Source organism: Homo sapiens, chromosome 14 (assembly GCF_000001405.40).
Source record: "Homo sapiens chromosome 14, GRCh38.p14 Primary Assembly".
Lineage (NCBI taxonomy): Eukaryota > Metazoa > Chordata > Mammalia > Primates > Hominidae > Homo > Homo sapiens.
The window spans coordinates 92958104-92985608 of record NC_000014.9 but is presented as its reverse complement, the minus strand read 5'-3'; the positions used below and the strand labels follow the sequence as shown (position 1 = coordinate 92985608).

At 51.5% G+C, this 27505-nt stretch overlaps 1 protein-coding gene across 6 annotated transcripts in view, besides 4 other annotated features; it reads left to right on the top strand.

The window, feature by feature from the left end:
- ITPK1 (inositol-tetrakisphosphate 1-kinase) overlaps positions 1–27505 on the top strand; it is a 179012-nt gene that overhangs the window by 130317 nt on the left and 21190 nt on the right. For all 6 annotated transcript variants that reach the window (NM_001142593.3, XM_047431351.1, NM_001142594.3 and 3 more), the window contains 3 exons: positions 22760–22858; positions 23214–23254; positions 27243–27408. In NM_001142593.3, coding sequence (NP_001136065.1) covers positions 22760–22858; positions 23214–23254; positions 27243–27408 — 306 coding nt within the window. The remainder of the gene's footprint in view (positions 1–22759; positions 22859–23213; positions 23255–27242; positions 27409–27505) is intronic.
- Positions 10500–11087: an enhancer, noted in NCBI's record as "H3K27ac-H3K4me1 hESC enhancer chr14:93440867-93441454 (GRCh37/hg19 assembly coordinates)". NCBI's record gives its function as "activates a minimal SCP1, AML or CMV promoter by ChIP-STARR-seq in naive H9 embryonic stem cells {active_cell/tissue: H9 hESC(naive)}" and the evidence as "EXISTENCE:reporter gene assay evidence [ECO:0000049][PMID:30033119]".
- Positions 11088–11675: an enhancer, noted in NCBI's record as "H3K27ac-H3K4me1 hESC enhancer chr14:93440279-93440866 (GRCh37/hg19 assembly coordinates)". NCBI's record gives its function as "activates a minimal SCP1, AML or CMV promoter by ChIP-STARR-seq in naive H9 embryonic stem cells {active_cell/tissue: H9 hESC(naive)}" and the evidence as "EXISTENCE:reporter gene assay evidence [ECO:0000049][PMID:30033119]".
- Positions 11676–12265: an enhancer, noted in NCBI's record as "H3K4me1 hESC enhancer chr14:93439689-93440278 (GRCh37/hg19 assembly coordinates)". NCBI's record gives its function as "activates a minimal SCP1, AML or CMV promoter by ChIP-STARR-seq in primed H9 embryonic stem cells {active_cell/tissue: H9 hESC(primed)}" and the evidence as "EXISTENCE:reporter gene assay evidence [ECO:0000049][PMID:30033119]".
- Positions 23341–23905: an enhancer, noted in NCBI's record as "H3K4me1 hESC enhancer chr14:93428049-93428613 (GRCh37/hg19 assembly coordinates)". NCBI's record gives its function as "activates a minimal SCP1, AML or CMV promoter by ChIP-STARR-seq in primed H9 embryonic stem cells {active_cell/tissue: H9 hESC(primed)}" and the evidence as "EXISTENCE:reporter gene assay evidence [ECO:0000049][PMID:30033119]".

The following is a 27505-nucleotide window of genomic DNA, read 5'->3' as shown; positions in this document are numbered from 1 at the left end:
GGTTTATTTCCCCAAACAAGAGTGTCTTCAGGGTGACCAATCATGTAACACAAGCGGGCTTTTAAAAATCTCTTTATTGGCTACTAGATGATGTATTGTAGATTTATTATAATAAAGTTCACATTGCACAGGTTTGTTTAGTGTAATTTTTATTTTTAAGAAATTTTGACAGAGTTGCAAAGATAGTACACAGAGTTCCCATATACCCTTTGCACAGCTTCCTCCAGTGTTAACATCCTATCTGACCATAATTATCTAAACCAGGAAGTTCACATTGATAACTATTCAATAATTGAAAGACCTAAATGAATTCGAATTTCCCCAGTTGTCCCACTAATACCCATTTTTTAGTCCAGGATCCAATCTGGTTGTCGCTCTCTGTGGTCTCCTGCCATCTGGGATGGAGCCTCAGGTTTTGACCTTGACACTTTGGAACCTTGACTGTTTATTTTGTGGAGTGTCTCTCAATTCAGGTTTATCTGGTGTTTTCGTGACTGGGTCAAGGTCATACATTTTCAGCAGGAACACCACCCAGCAGTGCCAGTCCCTCCCTAGTGCGTCATATCAGGAGGTGCATGAGGACAACGATGTCTTCTGTCTGCTCAGCAGCAGTTATTTGGTTAAAGTCCACCAGGCTTTTCCACTCTAAATTTCTATTTTTTCCTTTGTAGTTGGCAAGAACCTTCTAAGAGGATTCTTTGCAGACTGTCTCTCATATGTTTGCCCTTCTCTTGTAGCATCCGTGGATGGGTGTTGCCATTGTTACTGTGGTATTTACCGAACAGTCATCATACAGAATTATAAGAACTGTGTCCCAACCACCCCAGTTGCCCTAGAAGTGACAGGATCCCCTTGCAGCTTTGCAGACATCCACAGGGCACCAGGTGGCACCTTGTGGAGTGTCAGCATAATCTCACGTGTGAACAAAGGGAAAGGCAAAATAAGGAAAAGAGAAAAGTGTCAGATATGTTGGAGAATCAGGATTACATGTTTCTTTGCTGCAGGACTTCTCAGAGCCTTAGTAATGTGTTAATATGAATCTTTAGTCTGGGGGCAGTGTTGAATTTCATTACCGATTGTAAGATGCACTGATACTTCATATTCTATAAAAAAGAAAAAAATCCTAAGTAAGTTGTGAAATATCAATTATGAGACACATCTCAATTTCAGAGATGGAAAATATGAAAAACATGCCATAGAATCAGTGAAGTTCTGCAGAATTTAGCCTTTTCCATCCAGTTAACTATAGAGTCCCCTCCTCTCTTTGAGGCTTCTCTTGAGAGACTGTTGCACTCAACACACTCAGGAATTCCCTGACTGGGTGCCTTCTGGCCGCCCTCACTTCCGGCCCTGCACAGGTCTGTTCTTGAGTTCCCTGTATTAGTGTGTGGGGCCCTCATTGCTGGTGCTTCTCGAATCTGTTTAACTCCAGCCTCACTTCCCTGAGGCAGCCACTGTTCATAGTTTGGAACTTATCTTTCTAGACCCTTCCTATTCATACATGTAGAGATACATGTGCACTTTTAGTATTATTTTTTCATTACAGTAGGCTCTAGTGCAATGTGTACATTTAGAAACAGGGTCATTTTACACGTGTCCTGATACAGCTCTTTGTCCCCACTGAACATGTGTCTTGCTTCGCTTCTTTCCATGTTAGCCCATGAAGATGAGGGGGATCAGGTCTGCCCCTTTTGCTGGCAGCATAATATTTCCATACATGAATGAATGAATCCTAATTTATGTTGGGCCCATAAGGTCATTCCAGTCTTGTTTGGATTTTTTTTTTTTAAACAAACTGGGCTGCAGTAAACAGCTCCCTGCATATTTCTGCATAATTAATCCCTAGAAGTGGGATTTCTCAGCCAAAGATTATAAACATTCCTCACTTTGGCAGATCTCACTGGATTGCCCTTCAAAAAGTTTGAGCAAATTTCACTCCTGATGGTGCCAGTCTGCCTGGGGAAGCCGTACCCACCTCGATTGATGTGTGTTTGTCGTTATTGGCACAATTGAGTATCCCATCATGGATTCACTGGCTCCATTTGCTTGTCTTCTATGAATGAATCTTTGCCTGTTGTTTGCCTATTTTTTAGTTGAGTTGTTGGGCTTGTTGATTAATTAGATCCCTTTTTGTATGAAGAAAATTGTCCCATTGTTAAAAATTGTGGACGGGTTCATGAATGTAAGCGTCATCTTTGCTCTGGGTCCAAGCTAAGATGTTTTGCTTTTAGAATAGGTACTACCAGAAAGAGCCCTCCAAACATTTTAAAAATGTCTTGAAAGTAAAAAAGGCTGCCATGTTTTGGGAGCGGGAGCTGGAGCTGAGCAGGGACAGTGAGCGTCTGCCTGGGTCCAGAAGGGGCTGTAAATCAGTGGGAGCAGCTGCCACAGAGTCTACCCACGTTTCCAGCTACTGCCGCCAGACTCAGACATCGGGCGCAGAAATGCCTGTCTCTGTCTGAGCCAGTGTCTGGCTCCTCTTCTCCTGGGCTTTGGACATTGTGGTTGCAAACAGCTCTCTGGTCACATAAGATGAAATGAGTCACTAGCTAAGTCAGGTGGGAGGAAACCTGCTCTTCCCCTGCCCGTGGCTTGCTGTATTGGACTGTAACTTTGCACCTGTGGCATTTGTTGTCTTCTCTTCTCGTCCTCCAGTGTTTTCTCTCCACAGCTTGCCTGTCACCAGGTAGCTAAGTGAGGATCTAGCTGCTAGCAGGGAGGTTGCACCTGTGGTAAGGCCATAGGGTCTCTTAGATGCCTTCAAGGAGCAGGGTAGGGGGCTGTGGCCACTGGCGAAATGCCCCCTGCTTTCCCCCAGTGACTCCAAATATCACAATTGCGTTTCCCCCTTGAAAGCTCATAGTAGCTGGATGTGTTAATTTCCTATTGCTGCATGACAGATGACAGCAGATTGAGTGGCTTCTGACAGTACCCATTTATTATCTCATGGGTGGGTGGGTCAGAAGCCCGCATGGTGTGGTTGGGCTCTTGGCCCAGGGTGTCACGGGCTGAAATCAAGGTGTCCGCAGGGGCAGGTGATCTTCTGGAGGCCCTGAGGAAACATCCACCTCCAAGCTAACTCTCATTGACAGAATCCAGTTCCTGGTGGCTGTAGGACTGAGGTCCCCACCCTTGCTGGCCAGCAGCTCCTACAGGTCCTGTGTTTCTTCTCACGGTGCCCCTCTACTTGCAAGGCGGCCACAGCTGGCCAGTCTCCTTGTGCTTTGAATCTCCAGCTTCCTCTTCAGAGAAGAAGCTCTGTGTGTGATGCCCTAAGAGTTACCCAGACCATCTCCCTGTTTTGAGGGCAGCAATGCAACAGAACCGAGTCACAGAGGAGAACCCATCCATCATGCATGCAGTTCTGGCGATCATGCAGGGTGTTGCCCGGCCACAGGGATCTTGGGGTTGACTTAGATTCTGCCTGCCACACTGAGTAATACAATGGTTTTCCCTTGCATACTTATAAGTTCAATGGAATTTAATTGCTATCATTGCATCTCTCCAGGCCCTGTCACCTGTGCTGGGTGTCTTGGGGCATGTCGCCCCTGCCCATTCCCTCTCCTGGGTGGCGTCTCCTGTCATACTGCCCCTGCACTCCACACTGCAGCCAAGCCGAACCCCAGGGGCACCCCTCTTGACCCTTGGCCTTTGTCCATGGTGTTCTGCCTATCTGGAATACTCTTGGTCCCCAGGACTAACTCCAACTTTGGGGTTTGGCTCAGGCCACTTCCTCCCAGAAGCCCTCTGTGCTGCACACTCCCTTCCCTGCGTGGGCCTCAGTGCCTTCCTCCCTACTCACAGACCCTTTGCTGCCCTCATCGCACATTCATTCCACTGTTTCGTCATTGTCTGCTGGCCGCTGTCTTCCCCACCTGACCGTGACAGCCTTGAGGACAGGGGCGAGTGTGTCTTTGGGGACCATGACAGGTCAGGGCCTGGAACATAGTACCTGCTCAATAAGTATGCAAAGGAGGGAAGAATGTTTTCAAGAATCAGATACATAAGAAGGAGATGCACTGGGGGAGGCTCTGAGCAGAAATCCCACTCCCATGGGAGATAGGCCTGGGGCAGGTGGGGTCATGGGCTCGGGGCCACAGGAAGGGGTGGTCCTGGTTGTCTGTGGGGCTCTCGCGGAGGTGGTATTTGGAGCGGCTCTGAAATACTGGGCTCAATTAGAGGAAGGTGGGAGCCATTCCAGGGAGAGGGAGCAGGATGTTCAGGAGAAATGGGGGCTATTGGTGCTGCGGGAGAGAGCCCCATGCCGAGGCCCAGAGGGCCTCCAGGGCCAGTTTCTGCTTAGCCTATGCGGGGAGAGAGGGAGGCCATTGGGAGGCTGCTGTGGCTTCTGGAAAAGATGCTGAGGGTGTGATGAGGGTGGTGACTCTGGTCAGGAAGAAATAGGATGGAGGCCAGAAATTGAGGGGGAACATTGGCAGGCATCAGGGCAGGCATTATTATCTGGGATGAGTTAAGGAGAAGGAAACACAGGACAAGCCATAACCACAATCTGTGTGCCAGCTCCACAGGGCAGGACAGTGCTGGGGGGCTCCAAGGGTGGGCCAGGTGTCTCCACGGCGGCCAAGAAAAACTACAAGAGAGGCCGGGTGCGGTGGCTCATGCCTGTAATCCCAGCATTTTGGGAGGCCAAGGTGGGTGGATCACCTGAGGTCAAGAGCTCAAGACCAGCCTGACCAATATAGTGAAACCTTGTTTCTACTAAAAATACAAAAATTAGCTGGGCATGGTGGCACGTGCCTGTAGTCCCAGCTACTTCGGAGGCTGAGGCAGGAGAATTGCTTGAACTTGGGAGGCTGAAGCAGGAGAATTGCTTGAACCTGGGAGGCGGAGGTTATAGTGAACCAAGATCGCACCACTGCACTCTAGCCTGGGCAACAGAGTGAGACTCCATCTCAAAACAAACAAATAAACAAACAAACTATGAGAGAGGGACCCTTTGTAGGCCCCCAATAGTAATAAGTCCCCAGCCTGGGCCAAATCCCAGGGCTTCAGTGATAAAGATTCCATTTCAACAGGCAGAGATGAGAAGGGAGGGCATTCCAGTGGCAGATACAGCACAGACAAAGGCCAGGCAGGTAAGAAAGGCCAAGTTATCACCAGGAATAGAGATGGTCCCTCTTGGTGAGAGCCTTTCTTGTTTTGGGGCATGGGGTGGTACAGGCCCCCTCCACCTGGCTTGGAGTGGACTTGTTGGCCTTGTCATGGGCCAGAGCCCTCCACCTTTCTCCCCTCCTCTCAAGCCTTCAGAGAAGTTTCTGTCATGGAGTTCACTCGGCTGCCTCAGGGGCTCTGGCTCAGCCAAGAACATTGTCAGGGCTGGGTGGTGTTCTCTTTGTGTTTTCTCTGGACTTGTTCTGGCAACTGACAGCCCCAGATCCAGCCTTGTATTTTAAACACGAGGATCCTGCATCGAAGCTGTGTGTTCTGCCCAAAGATGATCCAGGCCTCAGTGCTCCTCTGGGGCTGGTGTATAGTCTGTTATCACACTGCTATAAATAACTACTTGAGGCCTGTCATGGTGGCTCACACCTGTAAACCCAGCACTTTGAGAGGCTGAGGCGGGTGGATCGTTTGACGTCAGGAGTTCCAGACCAGCCTGGCCAACATGGGAAAACCCCGTCTCTACTAAAAATACAAAAATTAGCCAGGCGTGGTGATGTGCGCCTGTAATCACAGCTACTTAGGAGGCTGAGGCTGCAGTGAGCTGAGATCACACACTGCATACCAGCCTGAGTGACAGAGTGAGACTCTGTCTCCAAAAAAAAAAAAGGGATTAAAAAAAACCTACCTGAGAGTGGGTAATTTATGAAGAAATTATGAAGAGGTTTAATTGACTCACGGTTTTGCAGGCTGTACAAAAAATATGGCCAGGGAGGCCTCAGGAAACTTACAATCATGGCGGAAGGCAAAGGGGAAGTAGGCATGTCTTTACGTGGCAGCAGGAGAGAGAAACAGAGCAAAAGGGGAAGTGCGACATGCTAGATTTCATGAGAACTTACTATCACATGAACAGCTAGAGGGAAATCTGCTTCCATGATCCAATCACCTCCCACCAGGTCCCTCCCCCAAATTGGGAATTACAATTTGACATGAGATTTGGGTGGGGACACAGAGCCAAACCATATCATTCCACCCTGGCCCCTCCCAAACCTCATGTCCTTCTCACATTTCAAAACACAATCATGCCTTCCCAACAGCCCCCCAAAGTCTTAACTCATTCCAGCATTAACTCAAAAGTCCCAGTCCAAAGTCTCATCTGAGACAAGGCAAGTCCCTTCTGCCTATAAGCCTGTAAAATCAAAAACAAGTTAGTTACTTCCAAGATACAATGAGGGTACAGTCATTGGTTAAACAGACCCAATTCCAAGAGGGAGAAATTAGCCCAAACAAGAACTACAGGGACTGCAGTCCCCATGCAAGTCCAAAACCCAGCAGGGCAGTCATTAAATCTTAAAGCTCCAAAATAATGTCCTTTGACTCCATGTCTCACATCCAGGCCACACTGATGCAAAGGATGGGCTCACAAGACTTGGGCAGCTCCACCCCTGTGGCTCTGCAGGGTACAGCCCTCACAGCTGCTTTCGTGGGCTGACACTGAGTACCTACAGCTTTTCCAGGGACACAGTATAAGCTCTCGGTGGATCTGTCATTCTGGGATCTGGAGGATGGTGGCTCTCTTCTCACAGCTCCCCTAGGCAGTGCTCCTGTGGGGTCTCTAACATCACATTTACTCTCTGCACTGCCCTAGCAGAGGTTTTCCATGAGGGCTCCACCCTTGCAGCAGACTTCTGTCTGGACATCCAGGTGTTTCCATACATCCTCTGAAATCTAGGCAGAGGCTAAAATCTTGCCTTCAGCACACCTGCAGGCCCAACACCATGTGGAAGCCACCAAGGCTTGGGGATTGCACCCTCTGAAGCTGTACCTTGGCCCCTTTTAGCCACTGCTGGAGCTGGAGCAGCTGGGATGCAGGATGCCATGTCCTGAGGCTGCATGGAGCAGCAGGGCCCTGAGCCCAGCCCACAAAACAATTTTTCCCTTCTAGACCTCCTGGCCTGTGATGGGAGGGACTGCTGTGAAGGTCTCTGAAATGCCCTGGAGGCATTTTCCCCTATTGTCTTGGCTATTAGCCTTCAGGGCTTCTTATGCAAATTTCTGCAGCTTTGAGTTCCTCCTCAGAAAATGGGTTTTTCTTTTCTACCACGTGGTCAGCCTGCAAATTTTTCACTTTTATGCTCTGCTTCCCTTTTAAATATAAGTTCTAGTTTCTGGTCATTTCTTTGTTTTTGCAGATGAGCATAGGCTTTTAGAAGCAGCCAGTCCACGTCTTGAATGCTTTGTTACTTAGAAATTTCTTCCACCAGATACCCTAAACCATCTCTCTCAAGTTCAAAGTTCCACAGATCTCTAGAGCAGGGACACAATATGCCAGTCTCTTTGCTAAAGCATAAGAAGAATGTCATTTACTCCAGTTTCCAGTAAGTTCCTCATCTCCATCTGAGACCTACTCAGCCTGGACTTCACTGTTCATAGCACTATCAGCATTTTGGTCACAACCATTCCACAAGTCTCTGGGAAGTTCCAAACTTTCCCTCACCTTCCTATCTTCTTCTGAGCCCTCCAAACTGTTCCAAACTCTGCCCGTTATCTAGTTCCAAAGTTGCTTCCACATTTTCAGATATCCTTATAGCAGTGCCCCACTTCTCTGGTACCATTTTTCTGTATTAGTTTGTTCTTAACATTGCTATAAAGAACTACCTGTGACTGGGTAATTTATGAAGAAAAGAGTTTTAGTTGACTCCCGGTTCCACAGGCTATACAGAAGGCATGGCTGGTGAGGCCTCAGGAAACTTACAATGATGGTGGAAGGTGAAAGGGAAGCAGGCACACCTTCACATGGTGACAAGACAGAGAGAAAGAAGGATGAAGTGCTACACCCTTTTAAGCAACCAGATCTCGAGAGAACTCACTCATGTCATGAGAACAGCGAGGGGGAAATCCACCCCCATGATCTAGTCACCTTTCACCAGGTCCTCCCCCGATGCTGGGAATTACAATTCAACATGAGATTTGGGTGCAGACAGAGAGCCAAACCACGTCGGCTGGCTTAGAAGTTTGCTGCTGATCTGAGTTCGAGTTCTGTCATGGTAGGTAGATGGACGAGAAGGCTGCACCTTCCTTAATGCCTAAGGGTCAAGAGTTCCATCTTTGGGCAGGAGGAAGCAAACATGTCACTCCTCCAGTATTCTCTACTCTTCTTTCTCCCCTGCCTCCCCCAGGGCCATGTCAGACTGCAGAGCAGTGATAGGCTCTGTAAGGTGATCTTGGATGGTTTTAAATGGCAGACCTTCAAATAGTAATACCAGTGATGATGATGACGATAATGATGGACAGGATGTTGGGATCTGACACTTGGTGTCTTCTGCATGCTGGTTTCTGTTTTAAGTGCTTTGTGTGTTAACCTGTTTGATCCTTACAGCAATCCTATGAGCAGGACTGCTCTTATTGCCATTTTACAGATCAGGAAATGAAGGCACCAAAAGGTGAAGTAACCGTCTCAAGTTCACACAGTATGGAGCATTCAGCCAGGCAGCTTCTGGGACTGGCTACAGTGTTTGGGAAGCACAGCTGGCCCAGTGCCTCTGTTTCCTGGTCCCTGAAGTGGGAAAGGAGCCTTCCTTAACTCTTTCCAGACTCAGTGTTCTTAAGTGGGAATGATGAGACTGGAGACCAGTGACAAAGGCTATTATGCAGTGGTTTGCCCAGCAGTCAAGGGTATTCTTTCCCGCCACATGCTGGCTTTGATCTTGAACGTGCAACCAACTCAGGGCCTCTGCTTCTCACATGCAAAATGGAGTGGTGATAGTGATCCGTGCTATGGCATTGCTATAAAGATGACACAAGTTGATGCCTGCAAGTGCTTGTTGATGGCGCAGAGCACACTGCATTGCTTGTCTGGTTATTGTTGACATTAAGCCCTGCATATGCTGTGTTAAGTGCCCAACACATGTCATCTCTATGAGCCTTCATTTTGGTTGTCTGTTAGATGGAAATCCAAAATGATAATGGTGTTTCTTGTGCTCATGAATCTGCAGCTTGGCTGGGCTCAGCTGGGTGGTTCTCCCATGCAGTCTTGCATGGCAGTTTAGCATGATGGTGACAGAGTAGCCAGACTACTGACTTGGCAGCTCAGGGACCCAGGGGTGTGTCCCGAGAAAGACAGCCTCTCTGGCCTTGCTTCCAGAGTCCATATTCTATTTATCTGTGAGGCTCTAGGGCCAGTTCACATTCAAGGGAACAGCATTTAGGGTCTACTTCATAATGGAAAGAAGCATGTAAGAAATAGAGACTGAGAAGTCCCACAATCTGCTATCTGCTAACTGGAGACTTGAGACCTAGGAGAGCTGGTGGTGTAAGTTATAGTCTGTATTAGGTCATTCTCACACTGCTATAAGGACATACCCAAGACTGTGTCATTTATAAAGGAAAGAGGTTTAATTGACTCACAGTTTGCAGGGCCAGGGAGGCCTTAGGAAACTTACAATCATGGTGGAAGGGGAAGCAAACATGCCCTTCTTCACATGGCAGCAGCAAGGAGAAGTGCAGAATGAAGCAGGGGAGCATGGGGGGAGCCCCTTATAAAGCCATCAGATCTTGTGGGAACTGACTATCATGAGACAGCATGGAAGTAACCGCCTCCATGATTCAATTACCTCCCACCGGCTCCCTCCCATGACATGGGGATGATGAGATTTGGGTGGGGACACAGCCAAACCATATCATAGTCCAAGTCCAAAGGCCTGAGGACCAGGAGAGCTGATGCTATAATTTATGGTTCTACTGCAGGAGACTGATGTCCCAGCTTGAACAGGGAGGCCAAGTGAGTGAATTCTTTCTTACCCTTCCTTTTGTTCTATTCAGGCCTTTGACTGATTGGACAGGCTCCACCCACATTGGGGAAAGTAGTCTGCTTGACTCAGTTTACCAATTCAAATGCTAATCTCATTCAGGTACACGGAGAACAATGTTAACCAAATATGTGGGAACCCTGTGGCCCAGTCAAGCTGACAAGAATTAAGCGTCCCACCATGGCAGGCCTGCTGTGTTCTAGGCTCTAGGGCAGGTCCCAGGCACACAGAGATGAGCAAGGCAGGCATAGTCCCTGCTCCCACCGAGCCTCCTGCCTCATCTGCCTCCATCAGGGAGGAAGGAACTGCGTACTGGGGCAGGGGCACCCAAGAAGCCTTAATGTCGGAGGAACTGGGTACTGGGTCAGGGGCACTGCCTGGGGCACTGAGCCTGCACCCTGTGGCGGAGCTTGATTGAGAAACCGAGCAAGGCTCATTTTGCCCAGAGCTTGGGAGGAGGGAGGCATAGGCAGGCCCTTGGCCATGGAGGACTTCAAGGCTGGCAAGGAGTCTGGACCTGATTCCGAAGGCCATGGGAGCCGTTGGGGAGCATGGAGCAGCGGCTCAGCCTTAGGCTGGGCTTTACAGGTCACACCTCCCGAGTTCTCCCTTGCCCCCTCGCAACAGCATGAGGCATGCCAACACTCAGGAGATGCCACTTCCCTACCCTCTCCTCATGGTGGGTCCAAGGGAGGAGACACAGTCCTGCCCTAGCCCCTGTGCCCTGAAGCTGTGAAGTCACTGCTTAGTCCATGTGGCAAGGGCCTGGCCTTCTCTCACACCCCCGCTCCTCCTGTGACCACAGTCCTCATGTGACCCTTCCTTTCCTCAGTGAACCGGACGGCTGGGCAGCACCCAGTCCTGCTGGGGAAGACTCACTCCAGGCTGCCTTTCAGTGACCCAGGCCCCATGGGCCTTTTGCCATTGGCCTTGAGTGCCTTCAGCTCTGAGTTCCTCAGTGCCTAAGCAGCACGGGAAGTGCCTTCTCTCCTCCCTTGTCCCACGAGGGCACCTGAGAGGGCCACTGTGTCCTTACGCCCGATGCCCATGAGAGATGCTAGCTCCTGGGGAGCTCCTGAGACTGTGCACCTTGGATTGGAACCTGGGCTCGTAGCTCTGTGTCCTACATGTATGCATCGCTGCACATGCCTGGCCTGCCCAAGGCCCTTGAGGTTGCTGCATTAGCTACAAGGGGCTGCGAGGCTGAGGGTCCACTGCTCCTAGGAGCCAGGCAGGGCTGTCATAGATTTTCAGGTGGCTTCCAGGAGCCAGGCTGTTTGTCCTGCATCCCCAGGGCATGCCAGCTTCAGGATCTGGAACTTTTAATGTCTTCACAAACAAAACACAACATGTCATTCCAGTTTTATCTCATCCAGGACTGTTCATAGACCTTTAACACACGATGATGTCACTGCCATCCAATTGTTTCCATCCTTTCGGAAGCGCCCAAATCCCCTACAAATCCAGCCCTGCTCAGTGCCAGCCCCTGCAGGGGCCCCACCCTCCAGGGGCCCCCAACTTCAGGGAGAGATGAGTCACTCATCCTAAGCGAGAGGGACAGTTCGGAGGTGTTAGGGATGTACCCTGGAGGCACAGGGCAAGGGCAGCTCCTCAGCATAGCCAGAGGGATCTGGTGCTCTGCCAATCTGCAGGAGGGCAGGGTGGGGGCCTAGGCAGTCAGGCACCCCAGAGGGGCATGGAGGGGCCCTGCCTGCGGGCAAGGCACATGGCTTTCTAGGATGGAATGCCTGGAGCCCTCCAGCCAGGCCACGTGGACAGGACCTTGTGCTGTGGTGGTGAGGGTGCATCCAGCCCCTCTCTTCTGGCTCTAAGTCCCTTCAGATTGGGACCACCTCTGTCTCTCTGTCGCTTGCATCCCGGGGCCTCTCACCCGGGCCCTTCCTGGCATCCCCCTCCTGGCTCAGGCCTGTGCGGCCCTCCCACCCACGTGCCTGTGAGTTGACTGTGGGTGTTACTGGGTGGCTGCCATCGTCATCGCTGGCCAAAAAGCCATTTGGGTTGTTTCCAGAGCTGCTGTCAGGCTGGAACTTGGTTCACCCGGATGCACAGAACATCTTCCCTGTCTAGAATTCAAGAGCATGTGACTCCCGCCCCTTAACTGCATAACCACAGAGGGAAGGTGACTTTGGATGAGTCCAGGGCCTGAATGAGTCCAGAGCACTTGAACTTACAGATGGGCCGGCCAGGCTCTTTCCAGTCCTGCCACAGCCATCTTCAAGGCTGTTCCAGACCCACAGCGCCACAGGGTGGCCAGGCGGGAGATTGCAGGCCCCTCCTCCTTCCTTTGCAGGCTGTGCCAACACTGGGCTTCCCTCCTCCTTTTGTTTCCAGTGCTTACGGCTCACTTATCCCATCCATCAACTTATCTTCACACGTGCACATGTGCCAGAGAGATGGTTCTTACTGAGGCCTGCCTTCTCCTGTCCCCAAGGAACATACTGCCTAGTTACTGAATCAGAACCCATATATGAAAATTTAATAGCGTACAAGAGGTAAACAACAAAACTCGGTAGCAGTGCCAGAAAAAGTACTAGAAAGACGTGACTGTGGGTAGGAGTTGCAGGGTGAATGCCACTCGAGGCAGCAGCATGGGACAGCGTGTTCTTGGGGGCTCTGCAGAACAGCTGGGATTCTGTGATGCTTGGAAGAGCAGGTGTTGCCAAGTGAGGCATGGAACGGGGACCATCCCAGAGATATAGTGGGGACAGTATATCCACCTGGCACAAGGGTTTGGCTGGGAACGATCTTGGGTTGTGCGGTCAGAGAAGAGTTGGGCGCGGTGGCTCATGCCTGTAATCCCAACACTTTTGGAGGCCGAGGCGGGCAGATCACTTGAGGTCCGGAGTTCAAGACCAGCCTGGCCAACATGGCAAAACCCCGTCTCTACTAAAGACAAAAAAATTAGCCAGGCATGGTGGCGTGTTCCTGTAATCCCAGCTACTTGGGAGGCTGAGGCAGGAGAATTGCTTGAACCGGGAGGGGGAGGTTGCAGTGAGCTGAGATCACGATGCCTCTGCACTCCAACCTGGGTGACAGAGTGAGACTCTGTCTCAGAAAAACAAATAAACAAACAAACAAAAGAGTTGGGAAGTATATTCATTTGCGTGGGCTGCATGACAGTGCTGCATTTAAACAACAGCAATGCACTGCCTCCCAGTTCTGGAGGCAGAAGTCTCAGATCTTAGTGTTGGCAGAGTTAGCTTCTTCTGAGGCCTCCCTCCTTGGCCTGCGGATGGCCCTCATCTCCCCACGTCTGCACATGGTCTTCCCCTGTGTGTGTCTGCGTCCTAATCTCCTTATAAGGACACCAGTCCTATTGGATTAGGACCCACTCTACTGACTTCATTTTACCTCTTTAAAGACCCTATCTCCCAGTGCAGTCCCGTTCTCAGGCATGGGGATTGGGGCTTCAATATCAACTTGGAAACAGCGCTCAGCCCATCACAGGAAGGTACAGAGTCAGGCTGCGGAGGCCTGGAAAGGCTGTGGGCTTCACTCGCGGGGCATGGACGCCTTGCTGGGAGCTGTCTCAGTACAGGTGAGAGCTGTAGGACGGTGGTTTGTGGGCAGAGGATCTTGTGTGTGGAGATGATGATTATGGAGTGAGGGGACCAACAAGGGGCTTCCTGGATTAACAGACTTCAGGAACATCGATTCCAGGAGCTGGGAAGAGGTCGCGGTGCTGGGCCACAGCCCTTGTTCCATCAGTGTCCCAGGAGGGCAGGCCAGAGCAGGCTGGGGGTGCTGTGCTGGTGGGTACCAGGCACCCCGAGGAGGGTGGGCATCCATGGAAACAGGGCTGGACAATACGATTCTCAGTCATTCCGAATGCCCCTCATGGGCGTGGCCTCACCGCGTCCCTGCAACCACCCCGGGAGGTGGGCGGCATCACTGGCCTAGTTTACAGATATCAGATCAGAGCATTGGCGGTCCCAGTCATGGCAACTGGGCTGGCCCTCCTTTTGCTTCCTGGGCTTTCCCTGCCATGACAGCTTCCTCCCTGCAGTGTCCCTGGCTTCCCTGGCCCTGGGCATTGTGGCATCAGTGCTGGGTGCCCCTGTTCCTTGGCGTGTTACTGACATTTGACCTACTTCTTGGACCCTCCCCAGCAGACCTTGCGTATGACGGTCCAGGTGATGACGACAATAGTACGGCGAGTTTTTCATGCACACCTGCTAGTGCCAGGGTTTAAACATGAGGCCCATCCTCAGCATCTGCTGGATGCTGGCCACCTCTGAGTGAGGGCAGTGGGACCACGACGATGAGTGGGGGAGGGGTAGTAGCCCTCTGAACCAGATGCTGTTCTAGTCCTCATTTTACAGCAAGGAAACTGAGGCATAGTGAGGTAACTGAGACAAAACAAAGCAAAATTTCTTGGCCAGGGTCATACGGCTGATATAAGATGGAGCCAGGATTAAAACCCAGACAGCCCAGGTCCTCTGTGGATCCTGCAGAGTGCCCAGTCGGGTGGGGGAGGTGGATGCTTCATTAGTTGGCCAAGATGAGCAGCGTGGGGCCCTTGGGTGGCACAGCAAGGGGGCTGCTCCCAGGTGAGCAGGAAGAGGGTGCCTGACCCATGTTGGAGGATAAGCAGGAGTCTTCCAGGCCATGGGTTGGTGCTGGGAGGGGAAAGAAAGGGCGTGTGGGGCTGAGATAGCTGCCCTGGGGCCTGAGAAGTCCGGGGGTGGGTTTCACTCCAACCCCCACTTTCAAAAGATGCTGTAAGGCTGGCCCGGTGGCTCATGCCTGTAATCCCAGCACTTTGGGAGGCCGAGGCGGGCGGATCACGGGGTCAGGAGATCGAGACCATCCTGGCTAACACGGTGAAACCCCATCTCTACTAAAAAAATATGAAAAAATTAGCCAGACATGGTGGTGGGTACCTGTAGTCCCAGCTACTTGGGAGGCTGAGGCAGAATGTTGTGAACCTGGAAGGCAGAGCTTGCAGTGAGCAGAGATCGCGCCACTGCACTCCAGCCTGGGCGACAGAGCGAGACTCCGTCTCAAAAAAAAAAAAAAATGATGCTGCGAGAACTTAGATCCTGCTGATCCTGTCCCCAGTGCCCTGCTCTATCAGCAACACAATGGGGCCCCTCTTGCCCCAGTTTCCTGCCATATAATATGGGCCCCTAGGAACCGGGAGTGGCCCAGGAAGCAGGACTGAGCGCAGCTCTAAGAGCCGGTGTCGGAGGCACACATAGCTGGGGTCTCCCACGTGCAGGGGCGCCCTGGGATGTGGACCAGTAACCACTGTTTGACACCTGCCTCCTCCCCTGAGGGCATCCCCCGCTGGGTGCCTGTCGTGTGCCAGGCCTCCCAGCAGCTCTCTAGGGAAGCAACACTCCCATTTTATAGAGAGGAAAGCAAGGCTCAGCAGAGTTAAGTCGTGTGCCCAAGGTTTCAGCTAGTGGAAGTTTGCCCCAGGTCCAGCGTCGGGCTGGCTGGCTTCAAAACTGCCCCTTCAGGTGCTCATTTCCTCCTCCCTCCACCCCTGTTGTCCTCTCGGGTCCACCTGTTTGTCACTGAACTTTTGTTTTCTTGTAAGTTCTGTAGCTGCTACCGGTCGGATGAGGGAAAGGTCACCTGGTGGAGTGGATGGGTAATGAGGTGTGACGCGGGAGGCCAGCCTTTTTCTGGCTCTGCTGGTAACTCGTGTGGCCTTGAACTAGTTCCTTCCCCTTTCTGGACTTGTGGAAGCCTGTGGCTGGGACTTGCCCATCTCCACGTGCCCTCCCGCTTCATGGTGTCTGATTTGGAAAGGCAGAGAGGGAAGACGGGAGCATTTCCGTTTCCCAGGGGCTGATATTCGCTCTCAAAAGAACACAACCCACCATCCAACCAAAGAAAGCCTCATTCCACCTCCCATCCAAAAATAAGGATGGCAGAGAAATAAGCAACAGTCGCCTTTTTCAGGGAACCAGAAATAGCCTCCCGGGCTCCCCGCTCTGACTTCCCAAGTCTTCATTCTGTCTCTATTCTGGGAGAAGAGCTGCTGGCGCCACCACTGCGAGCTTCTCGTGATCGAGAGGGAGGAACCCCTGCTGTCGCTGTCCCTCAGGCAGGCAGAAGGGGCTTGTCTGCTGGTACTGAGATGGTGGGGGTGCACCTGGGCGCCACCTGCCAGTGAAGACAGCTGGGCCTGGTTCCTTCCCAGCCTCCCACTCAGCTGGAGCGTTCTCAGGTTGGGTCCAGTTCATACATCCTAAGAGCAGCAGGTTGGGCCTTTGCACCGGCTGTTCCCTGTGCCTCGTTGGCGCCTCCCCACCCCCCCAGTCTTTGGAAGGTGCCCCTCACCATGTTGTTCAAATCGCATACCCCACCTCTGCCGGCACCCCCATTTTGTGGTTAATGTTTCCCTGCCAGCTCCGGCCAGCTATACATTTCATTTATCTCTCTGGATTATTGTCTGGGTCCCTTCCACTAGAATGTAAGCTCCTCGAGGACAGGGATGCCTCTGTTTTATTTATTACTATATTGTTAGCTCCTGGCATCTAGTAGAGGCTCAACATGTTTTTCTGTTGGTGAATGGTTATTGGAACAGTAGTACTCTACGTTTCTTATTTACTCTCACTTCATGGGTGTGTCGGGATGCTTTTGGCTACCAGAAACTGACTCAAGCGGTGCAGACATAGCAGCCTGTCATGCCCAGCAACCCGAGCGGGGGCAGCTCGGGATGCAAAACAGTCTGTGTCCACTGAGAGATGGGGTCCTTCCCAGCATGTGCTCTGTGGGCTCAAGACTGCCTTCAGCAAAGGCTGGTGCCCAAGCTTGGAATACGAGCTCATCCTAGCAGTGTGGCTGGGCGAGTCTCAGTTGAGTCCCCACCCCACGCCAGAGCAGGAGTGGTCCAGGCAGCCGGTGTGTCTGCCGCTCAGAGTGTGGTCAGCAAGCTCCAGCCTGGGACGAATGAACAAGAATGACCGTGCAGACCTTTCCTGGCCACCCAATTCCTGCTCCCACCTAGGCTGCTGTCTTAACAGAGCCTGGGATTTCAGAAGGGTGGGGGTGTCTGGCCTGATGCTGGATGTGGCCCATTCTTTGAAAATGTCTTGTTCTTGCATTTCGTCTGGACTCCAGACATCTCTGGAGGAAGATGGGCTCCCCTTGTTCCTTCTCTGACTTCACCTCAGACCCAGTGGGGATGAGGAACAAGACTCAATGCGTGTGTAGGGAGGACTGGAGGAGACCGTGGTTGTGAAGCATTTACTTAGCCCAGTGTCCTGCAGAGGGCAAGCACTCTGGATGACAGCTACTGCTACTAGGTTTTTTTTCCCCTTAATGTATTGATACAATTTATGTATCATACATTTACCTTTCTATTTTTTTTTTGAGACAGAGTCTCGCTCTGTTACCAGGCTGGAGTGCAGTGACGCGATCTTGGCTCACTGCAACCTCCGCCTCCCGGGTTCAAAGGATTCTCCTTCCTCAGCCTCCCCGAGTCGCTGGGATTACAGACATGTGCCACCACACCCAGCTAATTCTTGTATTTTTAGTAGAGACAGGGTTTCACCATGTTGGCCAGGCTGGTCTCAAACTCCTGACTTCAGGTGATCGGCCCACCTCGGCCTCCCAAAGTGCTGGGATTACAGTTGTGAGCCACCATGCCCAGCCAAATTTACCTTTTTTAAGTGTACATCTAGTTCTGTAGTTTTGATTATATTCACAAAATTGTGCGGTCATCACTACTAATTCTAGAACATTTTCATCACCCCCAAAGGAATGTACCCATTTGCAGTCCCTCCCAGTTCCTTCCTTCCCCAGCTCCTGTCAACCATTAATCTCTTTTTTTGTCTCCATGGATGTGCGTGTTCTGGACATTTCAGATAAATGGAATCTTACAGTATGTGGTCTTCTGTGTCTGGCTTCTTCCACTTAGCCCAGTGTTTTTATGGTTCTTCCATGTTGTAGCATGTCTCAATACTTTGTTCCTTTTCATGGCTGAATAATATTCCATTGTATGGGTAGGTCACATTTTGTTTATTCCTTCTGCAGTTGATGGACTTCTGGATTGTTGCCCCATTTGGACTATGATGAGTAATGCTGCTGTGAACCATTTTTAGGATTTTATGCGGACATATGTTTCCATTCTCTTGGGTATAAGAAGTGGAATTGCTGGATCATATGGTCACTCTGTTTAACTGTTTGAAAAACTGCCAGACTGTTTCCCAAGCTTCTGTACCATTTCTCTATTCCCACCAGCAATGTATGAGGGTTGGAATTTTTTCCATACCCTCAGCAACACTTGTTATTTTTGGTCTCTTTTATTATAGTCATCCTGGTAGGTGTAAAGTGGTGTCTCATTGTGGTTTTGATTTGCATTTCCCCGATGGCTAATAAGGTGCTTATTGGCCATTTATATGTCTTGTTTTGAGAACTTTCTATTCAAATCCTTTGCCCATTTTTAAATAGAGATATCTTTTTAATTGTTCAGTTGTTGATAGTGTTTTATATATTTCGGATACTAGACGCTTCTCATGATTTGCAAATATTTCCCCCATTCTGTGGGTTGTCTTTATGTTTTCTTTATAGTGCTCTTTGAAGCAAAACATTTTAAATTTTGATGATGCCCAATTCTATTTTTCCTTGGGTTGCTTTTGCTTTTAGTGTCCTGTCTAAGAAGCCATTGCCTAATGCACGGTCATGAAGGTTCACATCTATGTTTTCTTTTAAAGTTTTGTAGTTCTAGCTGTTATAATGAGATCATGATCAGTTTTGAATTAATTTTGTATACGATGTGAAGTAGGGTTCCATCTTCATTCTTTTGCATGTGAATATCCAGTTGTCCAAGCACCATTTGTTGAAACGAATATTCTTTCCGCCCCTTGAATTGTCTTGGCACCCTTGTAGAAAATCAGTTGAGCATAGATGCACAAGTTTATTTCCAGATTCTCTGTTCTATTCCATTGATCTGTATGTCTGTCCTTAGGCTGGTACCACATTGCCTCAATTACTGTAGCTTTGTAGTAAGTTTCGTATTGAGGAAGTGTGAGTCCTCCAACTTTGTTTTTCTTTTTCCAGATATTTTAGTGGTCCTGAGTCTCTTGCATTTTCATAGGAATTTTAGGACCAGCTTGTCATTTCCTGCAAAGAAAAAGCTGTAGTTTTGATGGCTATCATATTGAGTCTATAGATCAATTTGGGAGTATTGCCCACTTAACAATATTAAATCTCCTATTAATGAGCCTTGTGTGTCTTTCCATTTATTGAAGTCTTCTTTAATTTCTTTCAATGGTATTTTGCAGTTTTCAGTGTTTAAGTCTTACACTTATTTTTTAAATTTATTTCTTTTTGATGCTTTTATAAATGGAATTGTTTTCTTAATTTCATGTTTGGATTGTTCATTGCTGGGGTATAGAAATACAGTTGAGGCCAGGCATGGTAGCTCACACCTGTAATCCCAGCACTTTGGGAGGCTGAGGCGGGACAATCACTTGAGCCAAGGAGTTTGAGACAAGTCTGGGCAACATAGTGAGACCCCCATCTCTACCAATTAGTTGGGTATGGTGGTGCAGTTACTCAGAAGGCTGAGCGGGGAAGATCCCTTGAGCCTGGGAGTTTGAGGCTACAGTGAGCTGTGATCGTGCCACTGCACTCTAGCTTAGGCAACTGAGTGAGACCCTGTCTAAAATACACATACATAATTTTCTCTTTTTTTGATATGGAGTTTCGCTCTTGTTGCCCAGGCTGGAATGCAATGGCGCGATCTTGGCTCACGTCAACCTCCACCTCCTGCATTCAAGCGATTCTCCTGCCTCGGCCTCCTGAGTAGCTGGGATTACAGGCGTGCACCACCACGCCTGGCTAATTTTGTATTTTTAGTAGAGACGGGTTTTCTCCATGTTGATCAGGCTGGTCTTGAACTCCCAACCTCAGGTGATCCGCCTGCTTTGGCCTCCCAAAGTGCTGGGATTACAGGCGTGAGCCACCATGCCAGACCCATAAATATAATTTTTAAAAATTAAAAAAGTACAGTTGCTTATCATATATTGATCTTGTATCCTGCAACCTTGCTAAACTCATTTATTAGCTCTAATAGTTTTGGAGGTTTTTTAAATATGTGCATTCCTTGGGATTTTCTATGTATAAGATCCTATTATCTGCAAGTAGAGATGGTTTCACTTCTTCCCTTCCACTCTGTATGCTGTTTCATTTTTCTTGCCTAATGGCCGTGGCTAGAACCTCCAGTACAGTGTTAAATAGAAGTGGCAAGAGCAGACCTCCTTATCTTGTTCCTGGTCTTAGGGGAAGTGTCTAGTCTTTCACTGGGGAGTCTGGGTTTTTCTAGAAGGTTGAAGAAGCTCCCTTATTTTCCTAGTTTGTGGAGTGTTCTTGCCATGAAAGGGTTTTAGATTTTTTCAAATGCTTTTTCTGCATCCATTGAGATGATCATGTGGTTTTTGTCCTCTATTGATATGGTGTATTGCCTTGGTTGATTCTGTGTGTTGACACTGCTATTGTTATGAGGTTTGCCACAGAGCAGAGTAGCATGCTGTCAGGAACCCCCTGAGCCAGGGAGCTCCATGGGCACTTTTTCTGCGAGGGAGGCTGTAGTCAACAGCAGGGGCCTGGGAGTCAGATGGTCTGGGTATGACCTCCTGGCTGTACCACTGGCTCACCATGGAACTCTATGCAGGGAAATGCCACCTCTGTGCCCTAGTTTCCTCATCTGTAAAATTCTCAGGGGACAGGAGTGCTTCCTTGTGGGGTTCTTATGAGGGTAAATGAGTTACTGTGTAACTACGTTGAACAGTTTCTGGCATGGAACACATGCAGTGTTTTGAGACATTGGCTACTGGCCACTAGTGACATTATGTAAAAGCTTGGATGGGCCAGGGTGGGGAGGGACAGTTGAGGAGGGCATTGAAATCTGAAAGCCAAGCTGATTCACCTGCTCTAAAAACTCCGGGGGGCCACAGGGAGTCTGGAAGCTCTTCCAGGAGGTGGCCTGTTTGACCCCAGCAGCCTCCAAATCTTCCTGTGGGAGGAGGGGCCAAGGGTGGAGCCCAGGCTGGTGAGCGCCCGTCCGAAGCCTGCCTATGGCAGAACCCTCCAGTTTAAATTCAGGCCTGAGCACCATATCCTTTGGGACTGGGTTGCAGGGGCGGTGTGTTTGCAGCGAGGAGGCTTTTGCTCAGACTGCTTCCTCCCTTGACAGCCATGGAGGGCCTGCCAGCCCTCACAGCATTCCCGCCCTGCCTGGGGCCTTGTTTGGAAAATGGCTTTCAGCTGAGCACCAGCTCCCCTCCCTCCCCACCCTGACTTTCCTGACTTCCCCTCTCCTGTGCTGCCAGGTGAGCCTGGCTCCTTGTCCTGGCTCTGCCGTTGACCACTGTATGACCTTGGGGCCTGTTTCTGGACACTGTCAGGGACCGCTTGGGATTGAACAGGCCTCTGTGCAGAGGGCCTGCAACACTGTCTGCCAGGGGCTCAGGAAACACTGGCTCCAGACCACCCTCCCAGTGCCCCAGAGAAACTGCAACCCCCCAAATCTTTCTGTTTGGAGTTTAGACTGTGAGGGTAGGAGTCGGGGAACGGGGGAATGAGGATGAGGAGGGAGATAAAAGCAATTTTATATGCCCTGTGTAATTCTTGGCATTTGTTTTTATGACATAAATGAGGCTGGATCTACCTTGATTTAATGTCCTGACCTCCTAGCCAGCCAAGTAGCTAGCAGCTCGAGACAGTCTGCTTTGCTCTGTTTACTTTTGGTTTGGTTTCCAAGCCTGTGGGTGGCAGACCGCCCCCGCCCCGCTCACACTCAGCCTTTCCTGGCCCCTGTGCCCTGAAGTACAGGGTGGTCCCACCTTTGTGGTCTTATCAGGGAAGGGGGACAATGACAAGAAACAATAATAACAAACCAGTAATTTCATCATCAGCAGAGAGATTCCAAATACATTTTGTTATCCCACAAAAAATCAGTTTACCCCTGCTCGGTGCCAGGCACGAGTCAGGATGAACAGAACAGGTCAGCTTTTGAGGGTTTTAGGAAGTTGGACTCACTCTTAGAATCCACTGGGTGGGCCTGGAGAGGGGCCCAGGAATGCCAAGCTGTGAAGGGCGAGGAGGAATTGGCAGGGGGACCAGGCGCGGCCTGGGCTGGAGCATGCAGCAGAGATGCAGTGAGCGTGGTGGGGAGGCCACCTCTGGAGCTCCACACAATGCCCTCAATTATGTTAAGTAGTCTGCAGGTGAGGGGTCAGGCAGTGTCCATGTGGAAACAGTTGTGTCACCACCAGCTAGTTCTTTAATCTCTCTGACCCCAGTTTCCTCCTCATGGGATTATTTTGCAAACTGTGGAGGTGATGCCGGCAAAGCCCTCGGTACAGCGCCAGACGCATGCTAAGAGCTATATTGTCACTGCGATTATTATTAAGCCAGTGTATCACATGGTGGGAAAGTCTTTATTGAACCAGAAAAAATGGTCATGGCTTATGAAGTTAGGATTCAGGTTACAAAATTTGTACAGCTCTCTGCGTGTAAATGTACGCGTGGGTAAAAGTCCACAGTGGTGGGGTAGTAGTTGTAATGTCTTGTCAATATGTACATTTTTTACTTTTCTGTACTCTTCGGATTTTACACAGTGATCATACACGAGTTTTGTAATTACAGAAATGTTATTAGACAATGTAACGGCAGGGCTGTGGTTATTGTTCACACACACGAGCACATGGGACTGCAGAGGTTGGGGACGGTCAGATCCAGGAGCGTGGGGGCACTGAAGGCCCCTGGGGTGGGGCGGGCTGTCACAGGACGTGCACCTGGGGCGGCTGCCCAGGAGCTGTGCTGACCAGGCCTCCCTTCTGCCCTAGACGACAGGATCTGCTCGCCACCCTTCATGGAGCTCACGAGCCTGTGCGGGGATGACACCATGCGGCTGCTGGAGAAGAACGGCTTGACTTTCCCATTCAGTGCGTACCATCCCAGCTCCACCTGAGGGCAGGCGCTGTAGACCGCAGGCCAGCATAGGGGAGGGGCTGGGTTTATAGTGCCCTCTGGATTTAAGCTCACCCGAGGATGGATGAGCACATGGCCCTGGGTCCCACCTCCACCCACACCATAGAAACGGGTCCTGGTAGGGGACACAGGTCAACGTGCTCTCCTGCCTGGCCTGGGGGTGTCTACCCACACGTCACCCTCAGTGCAGATACCAGGTGTCCAGAGTCTGTGTCTCAGCTAGAGTTCCTTTCTAGACGTGCCAAGTACCTGCCTTGTGGGTGAACGGCCTCACTAATTTCTCTCTGCTTTTCTCTCCCCAACCCATAGTTTGCAAAACCAGAGTGGCTCATGGCACCAACTCTCACGAGGTGAGTGGAAGAAGATCTGACTGTTGTCCCTGACCCCCATCCTTTCAGCTCATCGTGTCTCACTGCTACCCTGCCGGATTCCTCACTGCCACTGCTCCTGCCCTGCTGTTAGTCCTGGCTCCTTGGTAGATAGCCTCCTTCCCTTCCCTGGACTCCAGAGGAATCGAGCGGGAGTGCTGTGGCTTCATGCACTGTCTGCAACCTCACCTCAATGCCTGTCCTGTCCCTAAGGCAGGAGGATGTGCTGGGGACCCACCTGTCCTCTGTGGAGCCTGTCGTAGCTGTGGCAGCCATAACAAACCCCAGGCACTGGGTGGCTTCGCCACATTTATTTTCTCACAGCCCCGGAGGCTAAAAGTCCCAGGTCAAGGTGCCAGCAGGGTCAGTTTCTGGTGAGGGCTCTCTTCCTACCTTGCAAATGGCCACCTTCTCACTGTGTCCTCACACGGCCTCTTGTGTGTGTGAATGGGGAGGGGCAGAAAGCAAGAGCAAGCTCTCTGATTTCTTCTGATAGGGGCACTAATCCCATCTTGAGGGCCCTGCCCTCAAGACCTCCCAAAGGCCCCACCTCCAGATACCACCACAGTGGGGCATGGGCTTCAGCGTAGGAATTCTGGGGCACACGTTCAGTCCATAGGGGAGCTTGTGCGAGTCATGCCTCAGTCCGGCCCGCCCTGCAGGGCTGGCTATCCTTTGGGCCATCAGTGTCATCTCTTCGAGGGCCTGTTTTGTGGCAGGCACCGGGCTGGGCCCACATGAGGGCTGTTAGCTCTGACAAGGCTCTGTCACTGCCACAGGGGTCTGCCATGCTGCTGAATTGAGACGGGCCAGGGAGGAAAAGAGGGCTGCTTAGAATCAACCCTGTGGAATGCTTTGAATCATGAGTCACCCACCCGCCCATTCATTCTTTTATTCACTCTATGATGTTCCCGGCCACCTTGAGGACCATGGAGACCAGGAGACAGATGCATAGGATGTGAGTCCTGTCCCTAGAGAGAGCCAAGGAGCCTGTGAGGACTCCAGGGGCTAGAGGAGTGGATGGTCATGCAGGGGCTTCGCTGGGGCCAGGGCCCGTACCACCCTCAGGAGCCACACCTGGGGCCTTGTCTTTGCCCTGGACACAGCACTGCCTGGGGTCTCCCCAGTGGGCACATGTTGGGGTATGCTGGGCAACAGGCATCTGACCGGAGTGGGCTCTCTGGGGAAGGCTTGTCCTTGGAAAGCCCCACCAACAGAAATGCTCCCCAGAGCTCACGACTAAAAGGGGAAGATGCAGCAGCATGGGCCTTTCCTGGGTTATGTACTGCTCTTTATCCCTGGCCTGCACTTCCGGGGAAGTATCAGCAGACAGTGTCAGCGTAGCGCAGCACATGCTGTGATGGGAAGGAGTGTGGAGACAGCCCGCCGTCCCGTTGTCAGTTGTCTGAAATCAGGAGCCCTCACGTAGTCTTCCTGTGGGTGTTGGCCCTCCTGCCGCAGCCTACCTGGGCTCTGTGCCTGGTGCTGGCAGCACCCTCCAGGATGTACCAGGCCAGGGAGGGAGCAGGAAGGCTCGAGAGCAGCAGCGTTGGTCCCCAGGCCCCCCTCAGCCCCAGTATCTGCCTGCCCGCCTTCCACCAGCCCCTTTAACCACCCAGTGGTTCCTCTGTGTGTGAGTTGCTTGGGTGTTCCCAGATGGAAGCACGAGCGTAGTTATTAACGTGAGTAGATCCGCCTAACTCAGAACCTGGCAGCCCGGGAGGAGGGAGCCACTTCTGCGAGTCACTCAAGGCCTGAGGGCCGGGGCTGTGGAATCCCAGAGACCTGGGACTGATTCTGGTGCCGTGTGTTGCCATTTGTGCGACTTTGGCAAATTACCCAGCCACCCAGAGTATCACATTTGTGACTGGAGACGTTAGCGGCTTCTGTGAAGGATGAGGGGTCACTGCCAGGGTTGCCTGGGTGGACTGTTGGATGAGCTGCCGGAACCAGCTGCCCTGGTACTTGCCCGGTACTTGCTGAAGGGGATGGGGGTTCTGGATCCAGGTGCACCCCTCTCAGGATGCCCCTGATGGGCCTCGGGACTCTCAGCCCTCAAGTATGGGGTCAGCACGCTCAGGGGAAGCTATAAATCACTCCTCATTCTAGCCGCCTGGCTCCAGGATGTTTGTACAGGTGCCCCTCCCTCTACTCCCCAGCCGGCTGTCTGGGTCCACTGCCGGCAAGGTGTGCCACCACGTCCCATGTACTCAGAGACCCCAGCGGACTCTCTGTGCAGACGGGGCATGTTAGCATTGCAGGGACGTGCCCTCTGGGGTGGACACTGTCCACCAGATCGGCAGAGGTTGGGGGACAAGCTTCTCACAGATTCCAGGGGTACCCGGGGAAGCCAAGTACAGCAGGGGCAGAAAATAGCACTGTGCATGGCTGGCTTTAGATAGGGCAGCAGGTGCTTCTGATCGGGAGTCCTCGTCTGCATCCCAGCCCGCGCACTCCCGGCCTCTGAATCTCCCAGCCCGAGACTCAACCAAAACCAGGACCATTTCTGCTAAACCACTCTGTCTTCATTTTATGTTCTCAGAACTCTTTTATTTGGGTTTTTGTTTTGTTTTTGAGCCAGTGTGAGGGTACTCATTTGCTCCACAGTGGAATCTTTTTTTTTTTTTAAGCTATAACTTAGCCAAAAGCTCAAAGCATCCCTGAAGCCACCCATGATTTTGCAGAGGAAGACAGTGGCGCTTAAGCAGGGTGGGGGCCCAGCCTCGGCTCACACAGCAAGTGCTCAGCAGGCATTCCAGCCCCTGCCTGACTCCAGAGCTGCTCGTGTTTTTCCTGTCCTTTATTCTTGTCAGAAGGCTGAGGAGATGTTCACTGCCCCCCAACGCCCCCAGCACAGACACACACTTTTTGTTTTTCCCATGTGGCCTGGATTTCCACGTCTGTCCTGCCCAGCTGAGCTCCAGGCACGTAGGGCCGGCGCTCCGTGACAGCTGACACAAGGGGTGGCAGCTGGGGAGGCAGCCAGCTCTCCGGGGCCCATTATCCCTGCTCAGCAGCCCCAGCCGTCTGGTGGCTCCTTCCTGGGGCCCTGCGGGCTGAGGGATTAGCCATGACCCTGGCACCAGCAGCTGGATCGGCTAGGCCTAGGGCCCACCCCTCTGTCCTTAGAGCAGACCCTGTGCAGAGCCCGTGCTGGCCGGGGCTGAGAGGGTTTTGGCAGCTGCCCCCCTGCACTCCCTACCCCAGCCCCTACCAGATCCTCCTGTCAGGGACCTTTTTCCCCAGAGGAGTCGGGGACCAGGAGCACAAAGGCCTGTTGTTTGCGGAGTATCACATGGCTCCGTGTGTAGGGGCGCGGCTGGGTGCTGTGCAGACCCAGTTCCATCCCGGGCTCACTCACTGTCCAGCAGTCACTGAACCTCTCAGCGCCTCATCGTCCTCATCTGTGAAAGGTTGTATGCTCACCTCAGATGTGCATTGTGAGGGAGACACTAGGTAACTGGTGTACGTGCTCAGAACAGGGCCCGGCTTGTCACAACTGCTTGACAAGAGGCAGCCGTTGTCATCAGACAGGCTTTGACCCAAGGCCTCCTGACTCCTGCGCCCGAGTCATCTGCTTCCTTCCTCCTCCCGGGTCTTTGTGGAGGATCCTTTAGGATGTCAGAGGGTTGAGCAGCACACAACCTCAGCGGCCCCCTTCCCTGGACCACAGTGCGACAAGTGGTGTCACGCTCTCAGAAGTTGTGCAGTGCACAGCCAGCTCGATCTCACATGGCAGGCCCGGTGAAGGGAGGATCTCCAACCCCGTGGCAGAAGGGATGCATCCCCAGGTGTTCTTCACAAGTCCCACTCCACTCACCCTGGCTCAAGGCTCCTCTAGGGGAGTCCTCATGCCACAGGACCAGGGATGGGCCTTGGTGGAGGTGCTCTGGACAGGTGACACACCTGTGTGTTGGAGGCTGAGAAGGTGGTGGATTCTGACAGAGCTTTTGACCCCTTGTCTTCCCAGATGGCTATCGTGTTCAACCAGGAGGGCCTGAACGCCATCCAGCCACCCTGCGTGGTCCAGAATTTCATCAACCACAACGCCGTCCTGTACAAGGTGTTCGTGGTTGGCGAGTCCTACACCGTGGTCCAGAGGCCCTCACTCAAGAACTTCTCCGCAGGCACATCAGGTAACTGCTCTTCTCACCATCTTGGGCTGAGCAAGACTCAGGGGCCCAGCTGGGATGTGGCAGCAGCTGTCTGTCCTTCGGCACTGCCCCAACCACC